The sequence below is a fragment of the Homo sapiens genome, chromosome 3 (assembly GCF_000001405.40).
Source record: "Homo sapiens chromosome 3, GRCh38.p14 Primary Assembly".
NCBI classification, from domain to species: Eukaryota; Metazoa; Chordata; class Mammalia; order Primates; family Hominidae; genus Homo; species Homo sapiens.
Window position 1 is genome coordinate 155058493 of NC_000003.12, and position 25589 is coordinate 155084081.

Here is a 25589-nt window from a genome sequence, read left to right on the forward strand (position 1 = left end):
CAGAAAATGTCTCTTTACCATTCCCTTATACTTTTTAAAACAATTTGCTAGCATTGTGCCAAAGAACAAATAAGCATTTAACTTAATAATTAGGAAAAGAAAAGCCTAAGGAAAAAATATTAAAAAAGGCAACATTGGAATTGAATGTATAATAAATAAGTAAATAAGTTGAGAAAACCATAAACTGACTCTCAAATGAACAAAGAAATAGATTTTAAGCCTCACCAGGAAAGGATTGAAAACTAAAGCTCCACATTGATATATTTGAAAAATCCGAATATTTTACCAATAGTAAATGTAATTTCCTAGTAAAACACCCATTTCCAAAACTGCTTCATGAAGAAGAAGAATCTGTGAACTTGTCAAAGTATTCTCTCACACAAGGCACAGGTTCCAAATGATTTCATAACTGAGTTATTTTAAATTCTCAAGGAATAAAAAATTCTTCTTCCTCTTAACTATTTCCGGATTATGGAAAAAGAAGGATTGGCCAGGTGTGGTGGCTCATGCCTGTAATCCCAGCACTGTGGGAGGCCAAGGTGAGAGAGGTCAGGAGTTTGAGACCAGCCTGGCCAACATGGCAAAACTCTGTCTTTACTAAAAATACAAAAAATTACCCAGGCATGCTGGTGTACGCCTGTAATCCCAGCTATTCAAGGGGCTGAGGCTGGAGAATCGCTTGAACCCGGCGGGCAGAGGTTGCAGTCAGTGAGCCGAGATCACACCACTGCACTCCAACTTGGGCTACAGAGCAAAATTCTGTCTCAAAAAAAAAAAAAAAAAAAAAAAGGAAGGATCACTTTTAAGTGCACTTTATAAGGTTAGCATATTGATATCAAAACCTGCCCAGAATGACATCAAAAAAGCTGATATTTATAAAGAGCTTTCTGTATACCAAGAACATTGTAAGTGTTCTAGAAATTTCAATCTATTTATTCCACAAATACTTACGAGACTGAGCATTTCTCTCATCTTACAGATAAGAAAACTTAGGGAAGTTAAATAACTTCTCCAGGATTCCACAATTAGTAAACGGTGGGACAGAGATGGAACCTAGGTAACTTGCATCGAGGAGACAAGCTATTAACCACTATATTTTATGTTTCCCATAGAAAATAGAAACTATCGGCCTATTTCATTTATGAATGATGATGCCACCATCTGAGATAATTTACTAGAAAGTTTATTTCAAAAGTATATTAAATGAAAAAAAGAAAACACATCTACATCATGATGAAAGTAGGGTTTACTCAAGAAAATTAAAAATAGATTAATAGTATAAGAACTATATAATTCTTAAATTGCCATCTGAATTTTATATAGTCTAATCAATCAGAAAAGATATACATACACATATGTGTAACAGAAATTATCATTACTCATAACATAATAAACACACAAATAAAATGAAAAAAATTAAACAATATGAGAATTCGGTACAAGGGTTGCTGAGTAGATTTTGTTGGGCAGGCAACTAAACCCAGAGTCTCCAAGTAGGAGTTGTTAATCAGTTGATTACTCTTTTGAACAGTAACAATAAGGGTAGAGGGTGACCACAAATACTTTACTTGCCACTTAAAATTACTTTGGCCTACTAAGTCATAGATTACTGACTTTAGGAATAGATCTTCATACCTGCCCTTTGGGAGACTGGGAACAAGAATAACATGCTGAGAGGTTGCAGCAAAATTATGATTTCACAGCTGTGAGACAGCCACTTTGATCTGCAAATGTCCTCCCTTTGGGCTTGCTGAAAGCTGAAACCCCATTATTAAAGATCCTTCTTGCTGGCTGGAAGTTTTCATACTGTGTTAAATGAAATGCTTATGGTTAAGATGGTTTACTAACTTTCAAAAGGCATTTCTACCTTAGGACAGGTAATTAAGGGTAAATATATTGGTTTTTCTGGTCCTTAGTTTACTCATTTGTAAAATGAAGCAGTTTGAACAAGATAATTTAAATTTTCTTCCATATCTAACACTTCACGATCCTAGAGTCCTCACAGTCTTCCCTGTAAGTAGGTGCTTACTGTTGTGATGGAGCAGAAGTTCTGAGACCCTGATGATACCAAGAAGGAGCAAAATGGTGAGAGTGGGGAGATGTAAGGACAAGATTCAGGGAGGGTGTCTCACTTTAGGCTGCAATAACAGAATACCATTTCTCACCTCAAAGAATTGCCGCAATAAATATTTTGTGGCTTAACAAACGTGTTTCTCACAGTTCTGGAGGGTGGAAGTCTGTAATCACAGTGCCAGCATGGTCAGGTTCTTAGTGAGGGCCCTTTTTTCCTGTTTATGTTCTCACCTGGATTTCCTTGGTGAGTACCTGCAGAGAGGCAGAGAGAGAGAGAGAGAGAGAGAGAGAGAGTGAGAGAGAGAGAGCACTTTTGCTCTATTCTCTTTCTCTTCTTATAAGGACACAATCCCATCATGGAGGTTCCACCCTCATAACCTCACTTAATTACCTTCGTAAGACCCCACCTCCTAACAATATCCCTTTGGAGTTTTGGTTTCACTGTACTAATTTTGGGTGGATGCAAACATCAGTTAGAGGGCTAAAGACAAATTCTAAATCTTTCAGAACTTTGAAGTGTATACATTATCAAATGATCATTTGCATGTAACACTTTTAAAAATTGTATCAAGTTAAAAGCAGCTGTATAAATTAAAAGTATCGCCGGGCGGGCGCGGTGGCTCACGCCTGTAATCCCAGCACTTTGGGAGGCCGAGGTGGGCAGATCACGAGGTCTGGAGATAGAGACCATCCTGGCTAACATGGTGAAACCCGTCTCTACTAAAAATACAAAAAATTAGCTGGGCGTGGTGGCAGGAGCCTGTAGTCCCAGCTACTTGGGAGGCTGAGGCAGGAGAATGGCGTGAACCAGGGAGGCGGAGCTTGCAGTGAGCCGAGATGGCGCCACTGCACTCCAACCTGGGCGACAGAGCGAGGCTCCATCTCAAAAAAAAAAAAAAAAAAAAGGTATCAAGCATTATTCATTCAGCTTTATTCTGGGACAGGAAGTGACAGAGGGGAAAGCTAAAACTTTTAACAACCACATTACAAACCTGTATTTGTTATTGATGTATAGAAATAAAATTAATTTTTTGGTGACTTTGTATAACTCAACCTTACTAGATTTACTTATTAATTCTAACAATTTATCTGTAGGTTTTTTTTTTTTTTTTTTGAGACAGAGTCTTGCTCTGTTGCCGAGGCTGGAGTGCAGTGGCACAGTCTTGGCTCACTGCAAACTCTGCCTCATGGATTCAGGCCATTCTTGTGCCTCAGCCTCCTGAGTAGCTGGGATTACAGGCACCTGCCACACTCTCAGTTAATTCTTGTATTTTCGGTAGACACAGGGTTTTGCCGTGTTGGCCAGGCTGGTTTCGAACTCCTGGCCTCAAGTGATCTGTCCGCCTCAGCCTCCCAAAGTGCTGGGATTACAGGCGTGAGCCACCGTGCCAGGCCAGTTGTCTACTCTGTATGTTCTTTTACATTTTCTAGGTACATATCATATTATTTGCAAATAACAGCAGTTTTATTTTCTCCTTTCCAAACCCTTTAACATTTTTATTTCTATGTATTGTGCTTATCACCCTAGCTAGGATTTCTTATTCAAAGTTGAATAGGAAGGGTGCTAAATAGTATACTTGCCTCATCCTTGCCATTGTAATTCTATTGTTTTACATATTTAATATTAATTTATATGTATCTATCTACTTACCTTTGCATTGTTCTTTCTGAAATTTCACCTGCATTCTTTTCTATCTGCAAGAATACCCCTTAATATTTCTCTTGGTTTGGATCTGTTGCTAACAAATGCTATTTAGTTTATCTTTATCCTTCAAAAACATATTTTTTCAAAGCTTTAAAGGCTATCTTTTTATTGTCTTTGGACATTCATTCTTCCTGTTGGAAATTCAGCTACCAGCCTTATTTTTAGTTCTATGAGTTCAAGATTGTTCTTCCTTCATTACCAACAAGAGGCAAATGTAATGCTCTGTGAAGAAATATAATATCAAACTAAACTTAGAATTATTTCACAATATTTTACATACAATTTCCAACATTCAGTCAAAAATAACAAGGCACATGAGAATAAAAAAGAACAGAAACAAAACTTTGGGGAAACAATAGGCAATAGAACCAGGCAAGTATCCAGAAGTAATGATATTATTAGAAATATATTTTAAAATAATTATGTTTATTATGTTCTGAGACATAAAAGACAAGCTTGAAAATATTGACACACAAATGGAAACTTTAAAAAGGAAAGAATTGACTGGGCGCAGTGGCTCACACCTGTTATCCGAGGCCCACGGATCACAAGGTCAGGAGTTCGAGACCACCCTGGCCAACATGGTGAAACCCTGTCTCTACTAAAAATACAAAAATTAGCTGGGCATGGTGGCACATGCCTGTAATCCCAGCTACTCGGAAGGCTGAGGCAGGAGAATCACTGAACCCGGGAGGTGGAGGTTGCAGTGAGCCGAGATAGTGCCACTGCACTCCAGCTTGGGACAGACTGAGACTCCATCTCAAAAAAAAAAAAAAAAAGAAAGGAAAGAACTACGTCAAAACTAAATATGTAATTAATGACCTTATTAATTATATAAATATATGTTATATATTTATGTTATATAATTATGTTATATATTTATGTTGTATAATTATATATATTATATACTTTGTAATATATATTATTTATATATTATATAATAATATACATATGTATATTATTATATATTATATAATAATATACATATAATGTATATTATTTATATATTATAATATATACATATTATATAAAGATATAATATATCATTTATAATATATATAAATATATAATTATATAATGTATATTATATTTATATATATTTATATATAAATATATATTTCATATATATTTTATATTTTATATTTTATTCATAATAAAAATATTATATATTTTTATTTAATATATTTATTTAATAAATATATTTTTATTATTTTATATATATATATTTAAATATATATATTTAAATATATATATTAAAAATATATATTTAAATAATATATTTATTTAATAAATATAATATATTTTATTAATATATATAATAAATATATTATATTTGATTATATAATATATAATATATTATATTTGATTATATATTATATTTGATTATATAACATATTATATATTATATTATATTATATTATATTATATTATATTATATTATATTATATATACCATTGCTTTCTTCCCCCAAATGAGCCTTTTCCTCCTCTGCACCTTTTCCCAAAAAGATGCCTGCATATAGGGGAAGAAAGGGTTTATATGGTCTCTTGGTAATGGGAAAAAGCAAGCTGTTATGAACTGAACTGTTTTGCCCTCAAATTCATATGTTGAAGCCCTAACTCTCAATGTGACTGTATTTGGGAGATGGGGGCTTTACAGAGGTAATCAAGGTTAAATGTGGTGGTATGGGTGGTAGTTTAATCTGATAGGACTAATCCTCATAAGAAGTGAAAGAGAAGGCCCAGCATGGTGGCTCATGCCTGTAATCTCAGCACTTTGGGAGGCCGAGGTGAGTGGATCACCTGAGGTCAGGAGTTAGAGACCAGCCTGGCCAACATGGCAAACTCTGTCTCTACTAAAAATGCAAAAATTAGCCGGGCATGGGGCAGGCACCTGTAATCCCAGGTAGTCGGGAGGCTGAGACAGGAGAATCGCTTGAACCTGGGAGGTGGAGGTTGCAGTGAGCCGAGATCCTGCCACTGTACTTCAGCCTGGGCAACAGAGTGAGACTCTGTCTCAAAAAAAAATTATACATATATAATATAACAAATATATGTATATATGTAAGCACTGTTCTAACCCTCTGATTTGCAAAATATTCAATAATGAAGGCACAAGAGAAGACGGCCATGCAGCCGCAAAGTCAGAGATTGGGAGATTCATTAAGTGAGGCTAAGGAAAAAAGGTTTGTTTCATTTCTCTTGTTGATTCTGAGGCATATACGAAATGTGTGAAATAATGAGGACTATCACACACTGTTTGTGTGTATGTTATTTATTAAACTGCACATATCACATTGTATTTAGGTAACTCAATTATGTTGATGAGACTCTTCTGAATACTCTTTCACTCCTGCATGCCTTTGAACATACTGTTACCTTCACTTGGAAAATCTTTCCCCTCAATCTACTTAATGAGCTCCTAGATATGTTCTTAATTTTCCAGGGATACTGCAACAAAGTGCAACTGGTGCTTAGAACAAGAAAAATATATTGCCTCACCAGTCCGGAGATTAGAAGTCTGAAATCAATGTGCTGGCAGAGCTGTGCTCTAAGATTTTCTAGGGGAGAATCCTTCCTTGACTCTTCTAGCTTCTGGTGTTTGTCAACAACCTTTGGTGTCCTTTGGCTTGTAGGTGCATCACTCAATCTTTGCTTCTGTTATCACATGGCCATATTATCCCCGACTAAATTAGTGTCTCTGTTTCTGTGTGTCTTCTCTTCATCTTAGAAGGACACCAGTCATACTGCATAAGGGTCATCCTACTCCAGTATGACCTTTTCTTAGCTAATTCCATCTGTGACAATCCTGTTTCCAAATTAGAGTACATTCTGTGGTTGCAGGAAGGACATGAATTTTGCAAGGACTCTATTCAACCCAGTAAAGTATCCTTTGGCACTTTCCTCAAAGACAGTCTCATTTCTGAAGTGTGTGTGTGAGTGTGTGTTTCTTTTAACTAACCACTTTGGACATTCTTTCATCAAGGCACATATAGCTGTAGCTACTGTTTCTCTCTCTTCCTCTCTCCCTTACTAGACTAAGACTTAAGAAAAGGGAATATTCTATTTATCTCTATGTCTTAAGGACCTACCAGAATGGCTAGCATATGTGTGTACTTAGAAAATATTTATGAAATAAAATGAATAAATTACCCTTCCCTGAAGTCCTAAAGACTACAGATATAAAGACAAATGGAGACACCTCCCCCAGCACGAGCTACAGAAAAGTGGAACAGGATATAGTCACATTCAGCCTTCAACAAAGAGCAGCTTATAGTTATCTTTAACTTTTCTTGAAATCTATATAAATAAGGTGAAATTTTGTCTCTTTATCTGCTAGTACATAACAACAAAAAAAGTTGCATGATAAATTCTTAGCAAGCACAAAGGTTAAGTTTTGGATTGCCTAACTTAAAACATGAGTGAGATGACTTATGCTCATGTGGAGCCCTGGGAGGTGCCTTAAATAGACAGGCAGTCAGTCACCCTCCAGAGCAGGCTGAGCTGAGGTAAAGTGAGAGGGTGGTGACTAATTAGAAGCATTTCATACATAATATGACACTGTGGTCATAAAAGACAGTGCTTTCAAATATGGACTCAAGTTGTAGATATATACACTGATGTTCCAAATTGTTGTAGTTGCTGTGCAGTGGAGCTACTTCTCACATAGGCAGTTCCATGAACTGCCTTTCAGGGTGAATAGGACAGGGATTTAATTATTTAAGTAATTCAGGAGTGTTTCACTATTCACTTAGCAGAGCGAAGGGCTATTAGACCAGGAAGACAATTCTAGATGTCGTCTAGTCCAATTTTCATTTTATATAGAAATGAAGCTAAGGTTTACAGTTTAAATAAATATTCTACAGTCCACAAATTAATTTTTAAAGAGCATTTAATGACAGAAAATTAGCATTTTATAGTACTAGTTTAAGTATGTAACATTATGACAATGTAATTTAAAAAATGTGTATGAGCTTAGAAAAAGATTGAAAGACTATACAGTAAAAGGAAATAATCACAGATGTGAATATGCATGATTATTGCCCTCTTTGTATTTTTTTGAAGTTTCCTGTTTTCTATAAATAAGTAATATGAGTTGCTCTAGTTGATTCCAGGGCTGGTTTCCTTAAACTTCTTTGCTCACTCTCTCCTTGCCTGCTCATTGCCATCTCCTCAACCCAATAGTGGAGGCACCTCCTTGTAAACCCTAGTTTTCCATGGAGTGAGTATCGTCGTTTGAAAGTAATTGAGCTAAATATTAAATAATTTTTCCCCAAATTGAGTCATTTGTGTATTATGGTAATAACTTTTGATGAATCTGAATATCAATTGAATATTACTTATGTAATGTGTTTTCTATCAATAAACTCACTTCCTTTAACTAAAATACATGGTGTAATGACATTTTATATTGCTGTCACTGGATGACTGATTGAAAATCTATGTCACTTACTGAAAAAGTAAGTACAATGAAAAAATTCTAGCTTGGTACTCTCATCTGCTGAAAGCCTGAGACTAAGGACTGCTCTCTGTTGAGAAAAGTGATCAGCTATTACTACAGAGATGTTACACAAATATAATTTCCAAGATGAGACTTTTTTCTTGACCTAAGTGAATCTAAAGAGAAGTCAAAATAGAATACCATTCTTACAGTGAGATTTATCCTTATATAATAACTCTGTATACCCCTACAACCATCTCACCTCCTAACATTAGAACGCATAGCATGTTTTAGAACTCACCGATTTAGAGACTATAAAGGAACCATGAGTAATAAGGCAGAATATTTAGGTTGGATTCATATAATGTATTTTCTGGATGTAGATAATGTTGAAGAAAGCTATGCTTTCCTTGTGCTTGCAAAAGATTCTCCCAGAGACTTTATTTGTAGTTATTATTCCAACAATTATTTGGGAGAAAACACAGGCAATTTGAAAAAAAAAAAAAAACACCTCTCATTCAAAGATAAAATAGATTTTTGTATGTTTTAAAAATTTATATAACAGATTTAGCTTTTGCAATTTATTTTCCTTTTTTTTTTTTTTTTTTTTTTTTTTGGGAGACTGAGTCTCACTCCATCACCCAGGCTGGAGTGCAGTGGCACCATCTTGGCTCACTGCAAACTCCACCTCCCAGGTTCAAACGATTCTCCTGCCTCAGCCTCCTGAGTATCTGGGATTACAGGTGCGTGCCACCATGCCTGGCTAATTTTTGTATTTTTAGTGGAGACAGGGTTTCACCGTGTTGGTCAGGCTGGTCTTGAACTCCTGACCTCGTGATCTGCCCACCTCGGCCTCCCAAAGTGCTGGGATTACAGGCATGAGCCACTGTGCCCGGCCCTTATTTTCCTTTTGAAATACTTTCAAACACTTCACCAAAAAAGATATATGGATAACAAATAGACACATGAAAAGACACTTAACATCATTAGTCATTAAGGAAATGCAAATTAAGACCATAATACACCATCATACACCAATTACAATGGCTAAAACTAAAAAGATTGACTGTACCAAGAGTTAACAAGAATGTAGGGCAAATGGAATGCTTATACAGTACTGGTGTGAAAAATGCTACAACCACTTTGGAAAATAGTTTGGCAGTTTGTTAAATAGTTAAACATTACTGCCACAGGATTCGGCTATTGCACTCCTAGATATTTACCTAGGAAAAGTGAAAGCATATGTTCATGTAAAGACTTAAAAATGAATTTTCACAGAAGCTTTATGTGTAATAGCCCCAAGCTATAAATTAAACAAATTTCTATCAACAAGGGAATTGATAAACAAACTAAGGGATATCCATTCAATGGAATACTATTCAATAATAAACAAAAGAATGAACTAATGCTACTATGTGAATGAATATCAGCATAATTATGCTGAATGTAAAAAGGCAAAAAAAGAGTGTATACTGTGTAATTACATCTATATAAAATTCTAGAAAATGCAAACTAGTATACAAACGGTATAGTAACAGAGAGGCAATCAATGGTTGCCTAAGAATAAGAGATAGGTGGGGAAGAGCAGCAGGGAGACATCACCAAGGCACAAGAGGTACTTTTAGAAGGTGACGGATAACTTTATTATCTTGATTGGATGACTCTTTCATGGGCATATACATAATAAATGTCACATTTTATTAAATTATACACTTAAATATGTGCAGTTTATTGTTATGTCAATTACGCATTAATAAAGCTGTTGAAGCCAAAATAATTCCTCCCAAAACTTGAATATTTTAGGCTGGTCTGACACGGTGTCACTGGTGTCATGATATCAGCTACATTTTTTTGTTTCTATACTTTTAACTACATTTCACATTCTAACAGGCCTAGCATAGCATGTGCTAAAGTAGCACAAGTTTTATTAAATTAGGCTTAGCAGGCATAAAATCTGAAAATACAGAATTTTGCAGACCTAGAGAGTTATTGAAAGTTTTTGAACATCTGAGTGAGTAAAATATTCTGAGTTTCTATTTAATCGACCAGGAAATAATGTGAACAATGAATTGAGATCAAGAAAAGATGAAATAGTGTCTTTCTAAGGATAATGTTCAAAATGTTAGTATAATAATCCAGGGAAAATAAGAGAATAGAATTTCTGCTGCCTAATGTTGGCTTTGGAAATAAAGTGTAGGGAAAAAGATTCAAGAGATCCTGTGGAGTTGATAATGCTGAGATTTGTAAATTCATTGTTTGTTGGGGAATAATAAAGGACTCATCGAAGGCCACTGGGATGTGTCAAGCCTAGATGAACTGGAACAAGGCTGAGCCTGTAAAGTATATAGGTTTCACGAGAGCATGGGTTTGTGAAGCATTCTACAAATGAAAGGAAAAGGGGGGAATATGTTGGACTAATTTTTGTAGGTTTGGGAGTTGTCTGCCATGAGATCAAAGCTGAAATAATGATATGGATAAAAACAGTCAAGGAAGAAATTCTAGAAAGAGAGAGATGAAAAGAGAAGAAATGATGCTTTATTTAGTAGGCAAATGGAGGACAAAGAGGAGGGAGAGACCAGTACAATGTTGTAGAAGCTAAGAGAACTGAAAGTTCAAGAAATAGATGTATTAAAGATTAAGAAATGTCATCAGGCTAGAAATAACAGAGAAAATTAAAGATGCTTTCAGTGAGAGGGATGAAAGAATTGATCAGCTCGTGGCAACTCAGAGTTGAGAGAGGTTTGTTAAGGCCCAGGATGACTGAGCTCACAAGTGAATGACTTGGAAGGAAGATGAAAATCCCAGTAATTGAAGAGCACTAACCTGGCCCTTTTTCTTTGAGACACCTTCAAATAATATTATTCGTATCATTCCTTGTTATAATGTGAAATTTTGCCTTAGCAATTTATTCATGATATTACAGGAAGAGAAACATTGTACTTTATGGAGAACCCTTCTTATTTTATTAACACCTACTTAAATAGTGACTGGAGAAATTAATATCACCCTGAGTTCCTAGGCAGGAAGAAACTCACTGGGTTTCAAATGAGTAAAAAGCAATACCATCAGATTAATGGACTAGGAATAGGCTCCATTACCTTCAGCTATTTTAATATCCTAGTACTCAACAAGAATGTGACTCCCTTGCCCTTGTCCATGTGATGTTGGTTAACGTCAGCAGAAGGACCTTATTGAGAACTGCCTCCCTACCCAGCCCCAGAAGCAACAGGAAATGGGTATGACCAGAGGGAACAGGAAGAGATTGTTTTCCTTTTGGAATGTAACTGCCGCCTCTACCAATAACCACTAGATAAGACAGGTGGACGATGCAAACAGACAACAACTCTCCTATAAGAATATAGTTAGTGTGATTGAGACAAAAGCAAGACAATCATATTGTTTAATGTTTTTGGAGCTATTTTTCAATTATATACAATATTGCACTAGTCAAATGGGCTCTCTTAACACTTTTATTTCTTTAATTTTTCTGGCCTAGTTTTAAAATTTATGGTGCATTAATGTGCATTGAATAAGCTTTTGTGAAATAACATCCTAAATCACTATACTTGAAAAGATTTCTTACATTAAAAGCATCTTGTGACAAGGAGCAGTTCGTTTCTTTAGGATTTGACTTTGAGATATTTTAAACAGTATAATGAAAGTATACACCAGAAGCCACTATGTACATACATCTGCATAAACAGATCAGGATGAGTTTTTAAAAGTGTTCTTTTTGCTTGGACTTAAAGGATCTAGGTAAATGCAATAATCTGACTTGGTAAGAATGCTTGTGGTAAGAATGACCAGCTGATGAAAAGGATTAAGAATGATGGGGTTCAAGATAAGCTTTATCTTTGCAAAAGGATTGGTACGGTATAAAGCATAAATAAATAAAGCATGGAACATAAAAGTCTAAAATTTAGATATTTCTATTTCACCTGGCACTTTTCCTGGAAGCATTAAGGATCCAAGAGAAGTTGGGAATTGATTACATTTTGAATATGATTTTTTCAAGTTAAGACATATACTTTCCCACTCAGGAGTTGCTTAGAAGACGCATTTCTTCACCTTGCTTGTCCTAGTTTTGATTATCTGGAATCCGCACCTCTGCCAAACATCAGAGTCAGAAAGAACCAGAGATTTAAAGGTTAATCATGCCAAAATTGAGCAGATGTCCCCCTGAGAAAAATCTGGGGTGTTTGGGTTTATTCCTGTGGCTGCTGCTGTGTAGTATTCAATACCCTGCTCTCGCCCCCAGAGTCAGGGCCACAGCTGTCCACAGGAAATGCATCAGAGAGGTCTAATGTGAATGAATCATATGCACATGTTCCTTGGTATGTGGTGATGGGCATACCAAGGGCTCAAAATCAGCCCTCCCTCCAGGCCAGAATTGGTTCCAGGCTTGTGAATGCAAACTATCCACACAAGTTGTGCTGTGAAACTACCCTCCTTTCCCGTTTCTCTGCGTATTGCCAGTAAAGGAATTTTAGTGTGTTGCTGGGATGAAACACATAATCATCTGGGAGACATGAGGGGATAAGCATATCTCTGTAACTGAGCTTAGTCACATCCTCATACGCGTAGCACGTGCAGCATGTTAGGGAGGGACTTTCCTGCCCGACCGTATCAGCACATGGAACAGTTTAGCCAGGGAATAGGCCCAATTCTATGTTTTGAAATTTAATTTTCAGTCACTCAGCTGTAGTCAATTGAAAAACTGCTTAGTGAGTGACTGTTTTCAAATAATCATTTGGTAATTATAGGGTATTTTTTCTTGAATGAAATTTGGAGGTATAATATTTCTGAGTCGTATTTCTCCCATCATCACAATTAATTATTGCATTTGGCATGTAACAAATATTTAGATGTTTTACCAAATTGTCAGGAGTGGCAAATATCTCATTGTATGACAGTAATGCTACAATTTCAACAAGATGTCCATCATCCTATCCACAACTCACCACCACCACCACTATCAAATGTTCCCTATCTCAATGAAGTGACAGATCTATCCAGTTGCCTGATACTGTAGGAGTCATTCTGGATTCTTTCTACTTTACTTTCAATATGAAAAAGTCGCTAAGTCCTATGGATTTTACCTCAAAAATCTCTCCAATTGCCTTAGATCACTTATTTATTTTTAAAATATCTCTCATAAGAATCACTGTCGGCCGGGCGCGGTGGCTCACGCCTGTAATCCCAGCACTTTGGGAGGCCGAGGCGGGTGGATCATGAGGTCAGGAGATAGAGACCATCCTGGCTAACAAGGTGAAACCCCGTCTCTACTAAAAATACAAGAAATTAGCCGGGCGCGGTGGCGGGCGCCTGTAGTCCCAGCTACTGGGGAGGCTGAGGCAGGAGAATGGCATGAACCCGGGAAGCGGAGCTTGCAGTGAGCCGAGATTGCGCCACTGCAGTCCGCAGTCCGGCCTGGGCGACAGAGCGAGACTCCGTCTCAAAAAAAAAAAAAAAAAAAAAAAAAGAATCACTGTCCTAGCCCTTTAACAGATCTCCTTGCCTCCATCCTTTCCCATCCTCCTCATTCCCATCAATGCAACACAGGCATTATAACGGACACTCCGACTTTATTGCTCCACTGCACAAAATTCCACCATGCCAAAAAGAGTAAACACTTTTCCATCACATGCAAATCTACTGTAAATGCTTGTTTGCATTTTTCTTACCCACTAAACTGTGGATTCCCTGATTACATAATCATTACATCTTCTGTTTTCTTTGTATCTATAATATTCTACACAGAGTTTTCTTGCTTTTTCATTCAACATTATTTTTCTCATTTGCTTAGCTGCAACTGGTTATTTTGTATTCTGTGTAGTTTAGCTGCAGTTGGTTTGTTTGTTTGGTTGGTTGGTTTGTTGGTTTGTTTAGGGCAGTTGGTTATTTTGTATTCTGTGCAGTATTCTATTTTATGAATGTATTACAGTTATCTATCCATTCTCCTATCAATGGACTTTTGTATTGTTTCTACTTTTTTGAAAATTATTATAGACCATGCTGCTACAGAATCTTGCACATATCTGCAGGTTTTTTCTGAGACTGCACCTAAAGGTAAATTTGTTGGGCTGTAAGTCATGTGTTTCTTTAAAAATTCTGGATAATATAAATGTTTTCTAAAATTGTTTACCAAAGTTTACCAAAGTTTAGTTTTTTAAAAACTATGTTGGCCTCTCAAAACTTTTATTAGCCTATAAAATGTAATGTTTAGAGTTATCGTTTCCTTGGAAATCAATAGGATCTCTGCTGGAAAAAGTTCATTTGCATGGTTTTAAACAAGAATCATTTGTATTGTTATGTTTCCTACAAATTACTAAACTAATCCATTTTTATCACTACCGGTTTCCAACAAGGGCAAATTTTTCCGAGTTGTGGAATAGCTTGGTCAATGAAAAGTCAACCGAAGGTGCATATCCCAATAGAATCACATAATCTCTGGAGGATCTACTAGCCAGGGATCTGCAAACTACAACCAGTCAGCTAAATCCAATAGAGGTCAGTGGCCCATTTCCGAGCCTACAAGTTAAAAATGATCTTACATTTTTAAGAACAAACAGACATTAAAATGAAGAATAAATAGAAACGACCACAGCACAGGAGATGTGCAGTCTCATTAATTAATAAGTAAATGCCAGCTAAAACTCCAAATAAAACCAAGTCTTACTCACCTGACTTCTTATACACCACTAATAGAAATATCAATTTAGACACTAATCAGTGCATGAAGTCTACTAAGCCTTGTGCACCACATTAATTTGCTGTAAATAGAATGTTTTAAACAATAGTAGTGGGTAATAATAAAACACAATGACATTAATTTTAGAAAAGAGTATCAATTTGTACAATCTGCCAGAAGAGGAAAAAAAAGTGTCCTTGTAAAGAACAAAACCAATTATTGGCTGTCTTTTCAGTAGAATTCTGGCCATTTATTATCTGTATCAAGCCAGATAATAAATGTTTTAGGCTTTAAGGATGATTTAAGTCTCTGTTGCATATTCTTTTCTTGCCTTTTTTTTTACAATGCTTTTTTAAGGATATATCTATATATTTATACCAATGCCTATCTGTCTATCTATCTATAGGACTGTAGATGGGTCTTTTAAGGTTGTGTTTTCTCATGTTTTTCTCTTGTAAAAACGCAATTAATTTTTTAATATTGATCTTTTATCCAACAATCATATTACTGTCTTATAAATATGAGTAATATTTTGTAGATTACTTTGGTTTTTCAGTATTGATGATCATACTACATAATTTACCAATATTTAATTAGTTATTTCTTCTTTTCTATTGACTTCTCTTCATCTCTCCTTCCTTTTCCTCTCTCTCTCTCTCTCTCTTTTCCAACTACACCATCCAGGCCTTCTAACACAATACTTACTACTGAACTCATATTTAATTTTAATTTGAAGGTAAAAGAAAACTATCTCTGGTCATTTTTATGTACTACTGCATTCAGTTTACTTTCTTAGGATTTGTTGTTTTCTTTTTCTAACTTTCTAAGTTATATGCTCACCTCATTAAATTTTAGCTTTTTCACTCCAAAATAAAATTATTTAAGGCTACAAATTTTCTGCTATTGATAGATACCTCAATTGACATATATTGATAAGAAATATTTTTATTGCATTCAGTTATAGGTTTCTTCACTTCCGTTATGATTTGCTCTTGCTCTTTGATTTATGTGTGTGTGTGTGTTTCCTTTCTTTCTTTCTTTTTTTTTTGAGACAGAGTCTCACTCTGTCACCCAGGCTGGAGTGCAGTGGCATGACCTCAGCTCACTGCAATCTCCGCTTCCCACATTCAAGCGATTCTCCTACCTCAGCCTCCTGAGTAGCTGGGATTACAAGCACGTGCCACGACACCCATCAGATTTTTGTATTTTTAGCAGAGGGGAGGTTTCTCCATGTTGGCCAGGCTGGTCTCGAACTCCTGACCTCAAGTGATCCTCCCGCCTCAGCTTCCCAAAGTGCTGGGATTACAGGCATGAGTTACCACACCTGGCCAATTTATGTGTTATTTTAAGGTGTTTGTGTGCATTGTTTAACAATTTCTAGATATATATGTGGTTTTATATTTATTTAATCATGTTAAGGTCCAAAAATGTGTTATGAAAAGTCTTTGAGATTCACTGTAGCTTATTTAATAGTTTGGCATATAATCAATGTTTATAAATATTCCATAGGTGCTTAAAAAAATATACAGTCTCCAATTCTTGGGTGAAATGTTCTATATATTTCTATTGGATTATCTTTTAATATTGTTATCCAGATCTTCTATATCCTTACTGATTTGTGCACTTGACATATCAAATATTGAGAAAGGTGTATTAAAATCACCCATTAACATGGGTGATTTTACCCTTTTAATTCTTATATTATTTTTTGTAGTATTTACTTAAAATTTATGATACTAGATGTAATCAAGCTTAGAATTTTATCAATGTTATCAGCCTGCTGAATTGATTAATCTCTTTTTTTGGTAAAATTTTAGTTTTATTACAACTTTACTATACCAGCAATCCTTCACTTATATTTGTTTGATATATTTTTTGAACTATTTTACTTTCAACTATGCTATAGCCTTATGTTTTAAGTGTGTCTCTTTTAAACAGAAGACAGCTGAATTTTGTTTATTTGTTTGTTTTATGCCAATCTGTGTCTTCTAACTGGAGAATTTGGTCCAATTATATTTATTGCAATTAATATATTTTGATTTATTTCTAGCATTTTATGTTATACTTCCTATATGTTCTTCTCTAATACTTTTTATTTTTCTGTCCTCCTTTAGATTGACTTATGTTTAATTTTGTTTTTTCTTTCTGCAAAACTTGACCTTATGCACTCTATTTTTATCTTTTTTGTGGTTGTATTAGTACTTTTTACATACATAATTAACCTAATAAAGTCTAAAGTATATAATTAATCAATATCATTATCCTTCTTTCCAACAACATAAGTAAGGACTTCATTTTATTTATTTAGCCAGGGTCTCACTATGTTGCTCAGGCTGGTCTCAAACTTGGGCTCAAGTGATTTTCCTGCCTCAGCCTCCTGAGTAGCTGGGACTACAGGTGCACACCACCAGGCCTGATTGAGTAAAGACTTCAGAGTGCTTTAATTCTAATTAAACTCTCCCAGCTTACACACCCCGTTGTCTGGTTTTTTAGTTGATCTTTTTTATCACCATTCTTTTATTTTTGTTAATGTTTGCTTAGATTTATTTATGTTGTTACTATATTCTTTGCTTATCATTCTTTCTCACATATCAGATCTTCCATAAACTATTATTTTGCTTCCTAAATTCATTCTCAAGAAGTTCCTTTGGTTACAGTCAGTGGTGGGAAGTTTTTCAATTTTTATTTTGAACAGTCTAGCTTGGACTACTTTACCATAGATCTTTAACTTGGAAATACTCAGGCTACACAATTAGTATAAATTCTATTCCTACATCCATTTGAAGTCTGGCCAAATCATGAATTCTTACAGAAAGTTTTTGTTGTAAGTTTACCAGCCTGAGTCAGGACTGAAAAAAGCAAGTATATCTATGTTTCTTGTGGAAGAGTAGGGGTGAGGAGTCGGAGTTGGGGCTGAGTTTCATTTTTTGTTAGCCCACATTTTCACTTTGCCCTGGACTACACTTTGTATGAAGTCCCTTGGCACTTGCAAGTCCTGTTAAAGTGAAAGCTCTAGGTCGCTTAAGTCCAGTGAGGCCTCTTGAAATGGATAGATACCACCAGGACAGCTACTGTTTTCAGCACTCACATATCCTTCTTGATTTTTTTGTCGGTATTACAAGAAAGACATCTTGATCCAGACCCCAAAAGAGGGTTCTTGGACCTCTTGCAAGAAAGAATTCAGAATGAATCCATAAAGTGAAATCAAGTTTATTAGGAAAGTAAAGGAATAAAGAATGGCTACTCTATAGGCACAGCAGCAGCATAGGCGGCTTGACTGAGTAAACTTACAGTTATTTCTTCATTATATGCCAAACAAGGGGTAGATTATTCATGAGTTTTCAGGGAAAGGGGCAGAGATTTCCTGGAACTGAGGGTCCCTCCCCTTTTTAAACTATATAGGTTAACTTCTGGATGTTGCTATAGCATTTGTAAACTGTCATAGCACTGGTGGTAGTGTCTTTTAGCATGCTAATACATTAAAATTTACATATAATGAGCAGTGAGGACCACCAGCGGTCACTTTCATGGCCATCTTGGTTTTGGTAGGTTTTGGCTGGCTTCTTTACAGTATCCTGTTTCATCAGCACAGTCTTTCTGACCTATACCTTGTGCCAACCGACCTCCTACATCATCGTATGACTAAGAAGGTCTCACCTCCTGGGAATTCAGCCCAGCAGGTCTCAGCCTTATTTTACCCGGCCCCTATTCAAGATGGAGTTGCTCTGGTCCAAATGCCTCTGACAGCTCTCTTTGTTTTTGGCTTCTAAGATTTTCTTTTACTTGCCTGCTGGCTCAATGGTGCATATAAAAATGCACTATAGCATTTTTAAAGGACTTAAAAAAATTCATCAAGCATTTGTGTCACACACAGTGGTTTTTAAGGATCCATTCTGCAAACTGCTAGAACCAATGCATTCCATTCTTAATAACTTATGTATGGCCACCAGGAGGGCTACTTTCTCCTCCATTCCTATAAGTGGCCAAACTGAGTGATCTTGGACCACCTCAGTAAGCCTCAGTTGTCTAAATTTACTTACTGTAAATAGTTGGGGACTCTTTAAGATCCCTTAAAAAAATTATCTCAAACTTGCACAAACTTCTGGGAGGAGATTTAGCATTCTTGATTTAAAAACAAACAAACAAACAACAACAACAAAAACCCTAAGTTTCTAATCAACTTTAATGAAATCAAGATATTGTAAGGGAGATGTGGGTAGTCCAAGCTACTTAAGAGGCTGAGGCTGAAGGATTGCTTGAGCCCAGAGTTAGAGACCAGCCTGGGCAACACAGTCAGACCCTCATCTAAACAAAAAAAAACGAACAACAGCAACAACAACAAAAAACAGAAAGAAAAGAGAAAAAGAAAAAAATATTTGTTCTGGGAAACCAGTTACCAATCCATACTGTCGACTATCAGCTGAAAGTCAGAGTCTAAAATTAACTCTAAGTAGGCATTTTTTTTTTCTTTTGTCATACATTTTAAGTAAATCCTTTTTTTTCCTTTAAAAGAGTCCTCACCGCCAGGCATGATTGCTAACACCTGTAATTCCAGCACTTTGGGAGACCGAGGTGTGTAGATCACTTGAGGCCAGGAGTTTGAGACCAGCCTGGCCAATATGGAGAAACCCCGAAAGTAAAAGTACACACACACACACACACACACACACACACACACGCAAGCAAAATTAGCTCGGTGTGGTGGTGCGTGCCTGTATTTCCAGTTGCTCAGGAGGCTGAGGCAGGAGAATCGCTTGAACCCAGGAGGCAGAGATCACACCACTGCACTCCAGCCTGGGCGACAGCACGAGACTCTGTAGGAAAAAAAAATTCCAGTTGAGATGCTTTCCAGGGCGCTAGTCAAGCCCCGCATGCTTATTTGTGGGAGTGAAAACACCAATATTTCGGGATTGTTGTGAGGACTAAATAGTGTCTGTAAGATGCACAGAGAAAGCGTAAATAGACGTCAATAGCACTTGTTAGGTCTACACACTCCATTTTTCCTCTATATTAATCGAATTATTTAAAGATTGGTTAGCTTTTTGGGGAAATGTCTCTCCATTGTATTCCACTTATTAGGATGAACTACCTTTTCTCCTTGCTTTTCAGCTTTCTCTGCTATGAAAAAGATGGAAAATTTTTTAGCACAAGGGGACTCTTCTCAAGCAGCAAATCATTTTGATATTAAAAACAGATAATTGCAAACCCAGTTTTATTTCAGTATGAATTCCGCAGTGGAGTGTGAATATGTGTGTGTATGTGTGTGTGTGTGTGTGTGTGTGTGTGTGTGTAATTACCTGTGATTCAAAAGAGGAAAGGGATCAGTATTAAAGGTACTTGTACACTGGAAGCAAAAAAAAAAGGAAGTTTAGTTCCTCTGAGCTCCTTGGCAATTATAGCTGCTAAAGGTAGCTTTTACAAAGAAACTGCCTTTGTGCCTAAAGTATTTATTTCCTTGTTTGTATTTACCCCTTTGAGGAGGAATCGCTGTGTCTTGAGTGAAAGGGGTACGCTGCTTGCTTGCATTAAACTGTGAGGGTCCAGGCGCATTACGGCTGATTTCAGTAGGTAGAGCAGACACACTTTAGTTTATTTTTCTCTTTCTCACTCCCCACCCTCAACCTCCGATGTACACACGTTTTAAGATTCCCTGAAGTCAGGAGGTGGGAGCGGAGAGTTTCAGTTCAGATCTTGACATGAGAGTACTTCGACCAAGGAAAAGAAAGGGAAGAAAGAGGGAAGCGGGGTGGAGAAAGCAGGAGCAAGGAAGGAAAGAAGGAAACGGGGAGGGAGAGTAAGAAAAAAGAAAACGAAGGAGGGAGGGAGAGAGGACATTTAAATGAAGAAGGAAGGAAGCTTGGATTCAGGGAGGAAAGGGAGCGGGAAAGAGAGCGAAAGAAGAGCGTGAGAAGAGGCAAGCATTATAGTCTCCGGTCCACAGGGGAGAGATGGAGCCCCCTCAGGACTAGAGAATCCCGAAGAGCCCGTGTATTGTTTTCTTGAAAGCCCCGAAGCTAAGCAATTCTAAAAATGTTTAGCAAAGCCCTTTTGGGAATGGTGAGATGGGGGGTGGGGAGGATGGGACATTTTCATTGCCACCGCCCGCCCCCCGTCTCCCCGGCCCCCTCACATGAAGTGACTGGATTTGGGAGACCTAGCGGAAACCTTCAGGTCACCCAGGGAACTGCTCCTCTCTCTGGTCCTGCAGCGGCGAGGCGGGGTAGGGGGTGGGGGGGGTGGGCCGTGAGAGCGCCGAGACGCGCGGGGCGCGGAGATGTGCAAGTGGCGAAGCTTGACCGAGAGCAGGCTGGAGCAGCCGCCCAACTCCTGGCGCGGGATCTGCTGAGGGGTCACGGTGAGTCTCTGTGGGTGCGGGTCGGAGGGATGCCCAGGTGCCTCGTCGCCCCACGGCCCGGGCGGAGGCGGGTCCGGAACCTCCCCCAAGTCCGGCCTCAGCCTGGAGCCCGCGCGCCTTGGGCGGATGCACGGACTGAGAGGCGCTTGGCTGGGCTCTCAGCCCGCCACTGCCACCCGGCCCCGTGCGCTCATTGGTCGGGATGTGTCGGCTCAGCAGCCTCCAACTTCTCCCGAATCCCACTGGTGAGTCCCAGGAGAGCGAGCTGAGGGAGAAAGGTCCAAAGGGCGCGAGCGCCCAGGGCGCTGGGAGCCCGTGGGACGGGCACGGGGAGGGCAGAGCCAGCCGAGGGGAGCGGCTGCCGGGAGGTGCGCTGAGCAGGGTCCGCAGCTAAGGTCCAGCGCGATCCGAGCGCCCAGGACCCTGCGGCCGTGGAGGAGGCGTGCCCTGGGAAGGAGCCGCTACTGGGACCTGAAGAGTGAGGGGAGGGAGAGGGGCCCAGAGGGTGACCTGGAGGAGGGCTCTGGAAGTCACGTCAGGTTGGCTCTTCAGGTTCATTTCCATAGTTCCCTGCGGCCTCTGCCTTGGGGAGTTATGTTTTGTTACCGAGATCCGCGCTACCAGATTGCACCGGGGCTGATTTGGGGGCTGGGAATTTGCCATTCTGCTGTACAGACACTGATTTTTTTTTCTTCTTTTTAAAAAGCAAGGTTTGTTTTCATTTTGGTTTCTGTCGGATTTTCTCATTTGTAACTCACTTTTCTATTTTTACTTTTCTTAACCGGAAGATCTTTTCATTATCCCACCTCTTCATCTTGCTTTTAACCTGATTTCCTATTATATAATTAATGCTTAAATCTCACAAGGGTTGGTCGGTGCGGGGCTGGTGTGTCCTTTTGTAGATGAAAGTTTAAGACCTCTTAACTGGTTTCAGTCTATTTGTCTGGTTTCAAAATAAGGGTAATTGCAACCAAATATCCCTCTTTAGCTTCTCGATCAAGTCGATTCCTCCCCCATATATGATTCAAATGGCAATTTTATTAAACTGAAAACTAGTACCTGACTTGCAGCGTCAGCATTTGGAAAGTGCTTGTCGGCAAATCGACTGTATGAAGGCGTGTAGCTTCATCCCCTGCCATTTTTGTGGGTTCTAGCACTTTAAAAAATTGTCTGGTAATTTCTTGGACTTAACCCTGTGTCTTTGGTTGTAGAGCAGCACTAACCAGGGGAGTAATATGGTTGGCACTTCGTGTCCAGAACTCCGTATTTCAGGCTGGGAAACACCTAATTAATGTCTGGGAAACAAGAAGATGATTTATCCTGAGTACCTCTGTCCTCAGCTTCTGCAGACACAGTTTAAATATGGAAACTGTTTCTCCTTCTTCCTGTGCCTCAGTTTCCATAGAACAAACTGTAATTGCATAGCACAGCTTCAGGAACCTGCAGATATAAGTTAATGTTATAATGTGCAGTGAAGATGAAAACTGCTTAGCTAAGTCTAAGTCTGTAAGTCAATGAGATTTCCTTTTTAACAAATCAGTTATCCAGGTTTCCTGCTTTGACTGTCTGATATAGTAATGCTTATGCTCAACTGGTATAAGAATTGCTGCTTTACATTGCTTTGAAATTAAGCTTACACTTAAAATAGTAATTTATTCTGTTGGTAATATTGTCGAGCTGAAGTTTGCAGGTTCTTGTTATCTTAGACCTCCTAATTCTCTATTCTCGTCTGTGGCAGTGTCCACTTTTCCGTTTAAACTTTTTATTTAACACATCTTCAGTTGAAGTGAAATATTTTAAGAATACAGGTATGTTTTTGCGTACCCTGCTTTATATGGGACTATAAGCCTCAACTTGGTATTTTTTTTTTTTTTGTATTCTTTTGTTTACTTGTCCCCCTTACTCTTCTCTATGGGATTGGGTGTGGTTAAGTTGGATATTCAGGTATTTGGGGTTTAGTCATATGTTCCACAGTGAGATTCCAGATACTGTCCCCTGATGTCTTAAAGAAAAATTGTGAACCTTCCAGAATTAACTGGAAATGAACGACAAAGTTAATTAGGAGATTAAACTTGCATCATTTCTGCTTTTGCTCAATGCTTTTGAAAAAAGGCTACTAAGAGCAAAAGACTTCCTTTAAGAATTTACAGGGCATTTACAAGAGGGGGAGATGGAGGAAGACTTTGCAGGTGATTCAAAGATTATATTGTTTTGATGCAGCTTCTGTCACTGTCTTCATTTCTCTGTAACTGTTTCTGCAAACTTGGGTGCTGACCCATTAAGAGCCCAGCTGCTTCAGTACCCAGTCTCAAGGGTAAGGAGGAGAAGCCAAGGGAAAGTAACTTACAGGGAGAAAGAAATGCTTATCCACTAGCTTTACTACACCACAAGGCATGGAGTTTCCACAGAGCACCTGTAATTTAACCCTGAGGCTGCCCTGGTTCACCCCTTCGCTTTACTTTACAGGGACACTGACTGTCATTTCTAAGGAAGAACTAAGAAAAAAAAAAGTCCTTTTATACCAGTAAAACATTTCTCTACATTGTCTTCTGACATATGCGGGGGGAACAATATTCAGGAAAGGGAAATACTTTAGCAAATGTGCTTAACATTCAGGTGTTCTTTAGGACAGTCATGAAACATGGGGAGACTGGGAGAATTATTATTGTTTACCTCTCTGTAAAGTGTCCAGAGTATTATTAAATTTGTTCCCCTCTTTCCTTTGCCCAACCAATACACTATTAAAATAGGACTACAATCAATGCAATTCCATATCATAACCCCAGGGGTGGTGAGACTAAGCCAGCATGCCTTACATAACCATTAAGTAAGACATTTTAACATTCAGGTACATTACATTCCACTTTTATTTAGCAGACACGGTTTTCATTGTGTAATAAAATATTTTTATTTGATAGTCTGTCCTTGCTTATAGCCTCATGTAATCAAGGGGACAGCATGTTTAAGACTTTGTATCCAGAACTTTAAGGTCTAGCTGTGGTTCGCTTATTAATAATTCACTGGGAAGGTTAATTTCTAGTTTTCTGCTGGGTCTCCCAGACCATACTTCAAATGTAGAATATGTTTCTTCTTTCTCCTATGCCTCAGTTTCCACAAAACACACCCTTAGAGAATTGTGTGTGTTCAACAAAGATCTTTAACTATAAGAGCATTTCTGAGCCGCCACTTCATCCTGGGACCAAATTCTAAGAGCAATTTGTATTGAGCTATAAACAGCTAATCTGCTAGTTTAAGATGTTCTTTTATACAGTCATGCAGAAAAATGGAAATTGTGTGTTCTAATCCTTGGAGACTGGCTGATAAAGTGTCACTAGGCCCCTGATGAAATTTAATATTTAGGCTTATATCCCCTTAATTTTCCCCCTAAATTTCTACAGTACGCTTTTACTGCATGATGATACAGCTTTATTTTGAACAGTGACCAAATGTGTTCTTTACAAAGAATATTGACGAGTTGTGTAGTCTTGAACACGTTGCCTGACTTCTCTGTGCCCCAGTTTCCTAATTCTTTATTCTATTCTGTGGCAGTGTCCACTTTTTGGTTTAAAGTTTTTAACACATCTCCAGTTGAGGTGAAAGATTTTAGGAATACAGGTATGTTTTTGCATACCCTGCTTTATACAGGACTACAAGTATCAACTTGGTAACTTTTTGTACTATTTTGTTTACTTATCCCCCTTACTCCCCTCTTAAATGGGATTGGGCGTGGTTAGGTTGGATATTCAGGTATCTTTTGGTACAGTGAGTGACCATTTTCAGAATGTTGTCTAACCAGTTAATAGATACTGGTATCAGTAGTAGTAGTAATTTTGAACTGTAAAAATAAAGGTTGTTTTTATGACTAAAATAAACTACTTCATGTGTTCATTCGTTTTGCTGTTTATCTATATTAATATTTCAAATTATTGCTTAGTCAAAACCTCAAGGTATTAGTCACTGGTTTTTGAGCTTATAAAGGAAGCCACTGGAGCAAGATATAAAATTAACCATTGATGTTAGTCCAGAGTTCAAAAGGGTGAGTTTAAAACTTTCTTAATGATGGTACAGCAATTATTTGCTTATAAACTGCTGAATTAATCCTACTTGAGTATTTAACCAAGTCTTACTGTCTAATTTTGCTGAGATTTTCAGTGATATACCAAAGCAAAACAAAACAAAACAACAGCAACAAAAAACAAAAGGTTGTGACTGAGACCTGTCAAATTCATTTGGCTCTATATACTTTGCATTCAGCAACAAAATTTTGACTTCTCAACAGCAAAAATGTATTTCTATTTTAAAATAACTGAGCCTTTTACTTTTAT

At 37.6% G+C, this 25589-nt stretch overlaps 1 protein-coding gene across 11 annotated transcripts in view; it reads left to right on the forward strand.

The window, feature by feature from the left end:
- The window catches only part of MME (membrane metalloendopeptidase), a 159528-nt gene that overhangs the window by 34291 nt on the left and 99648 nt on the right, over positions 1–25589 (forward strand). The window contains exon 1 of one of the 11 annotated variants that reach the window (NM_000902.5): positions 21180–21264. The exons of 1 other annotated variant lie outside the window; for it this stretch is intronic. The gene's annotated coding sequence lies outside the window, so the exon portion shown is untranslated. Of the gene's footprint in view, positions 1–21179; positions 21265–21377; positions 25551–25589 lie in introns of those variants that run through there. 9 more of the 11 variants (NM_007287.4, XM_047448157.1, NM_007288.3 and 6 more) reach the window with 9 other exon arrangements.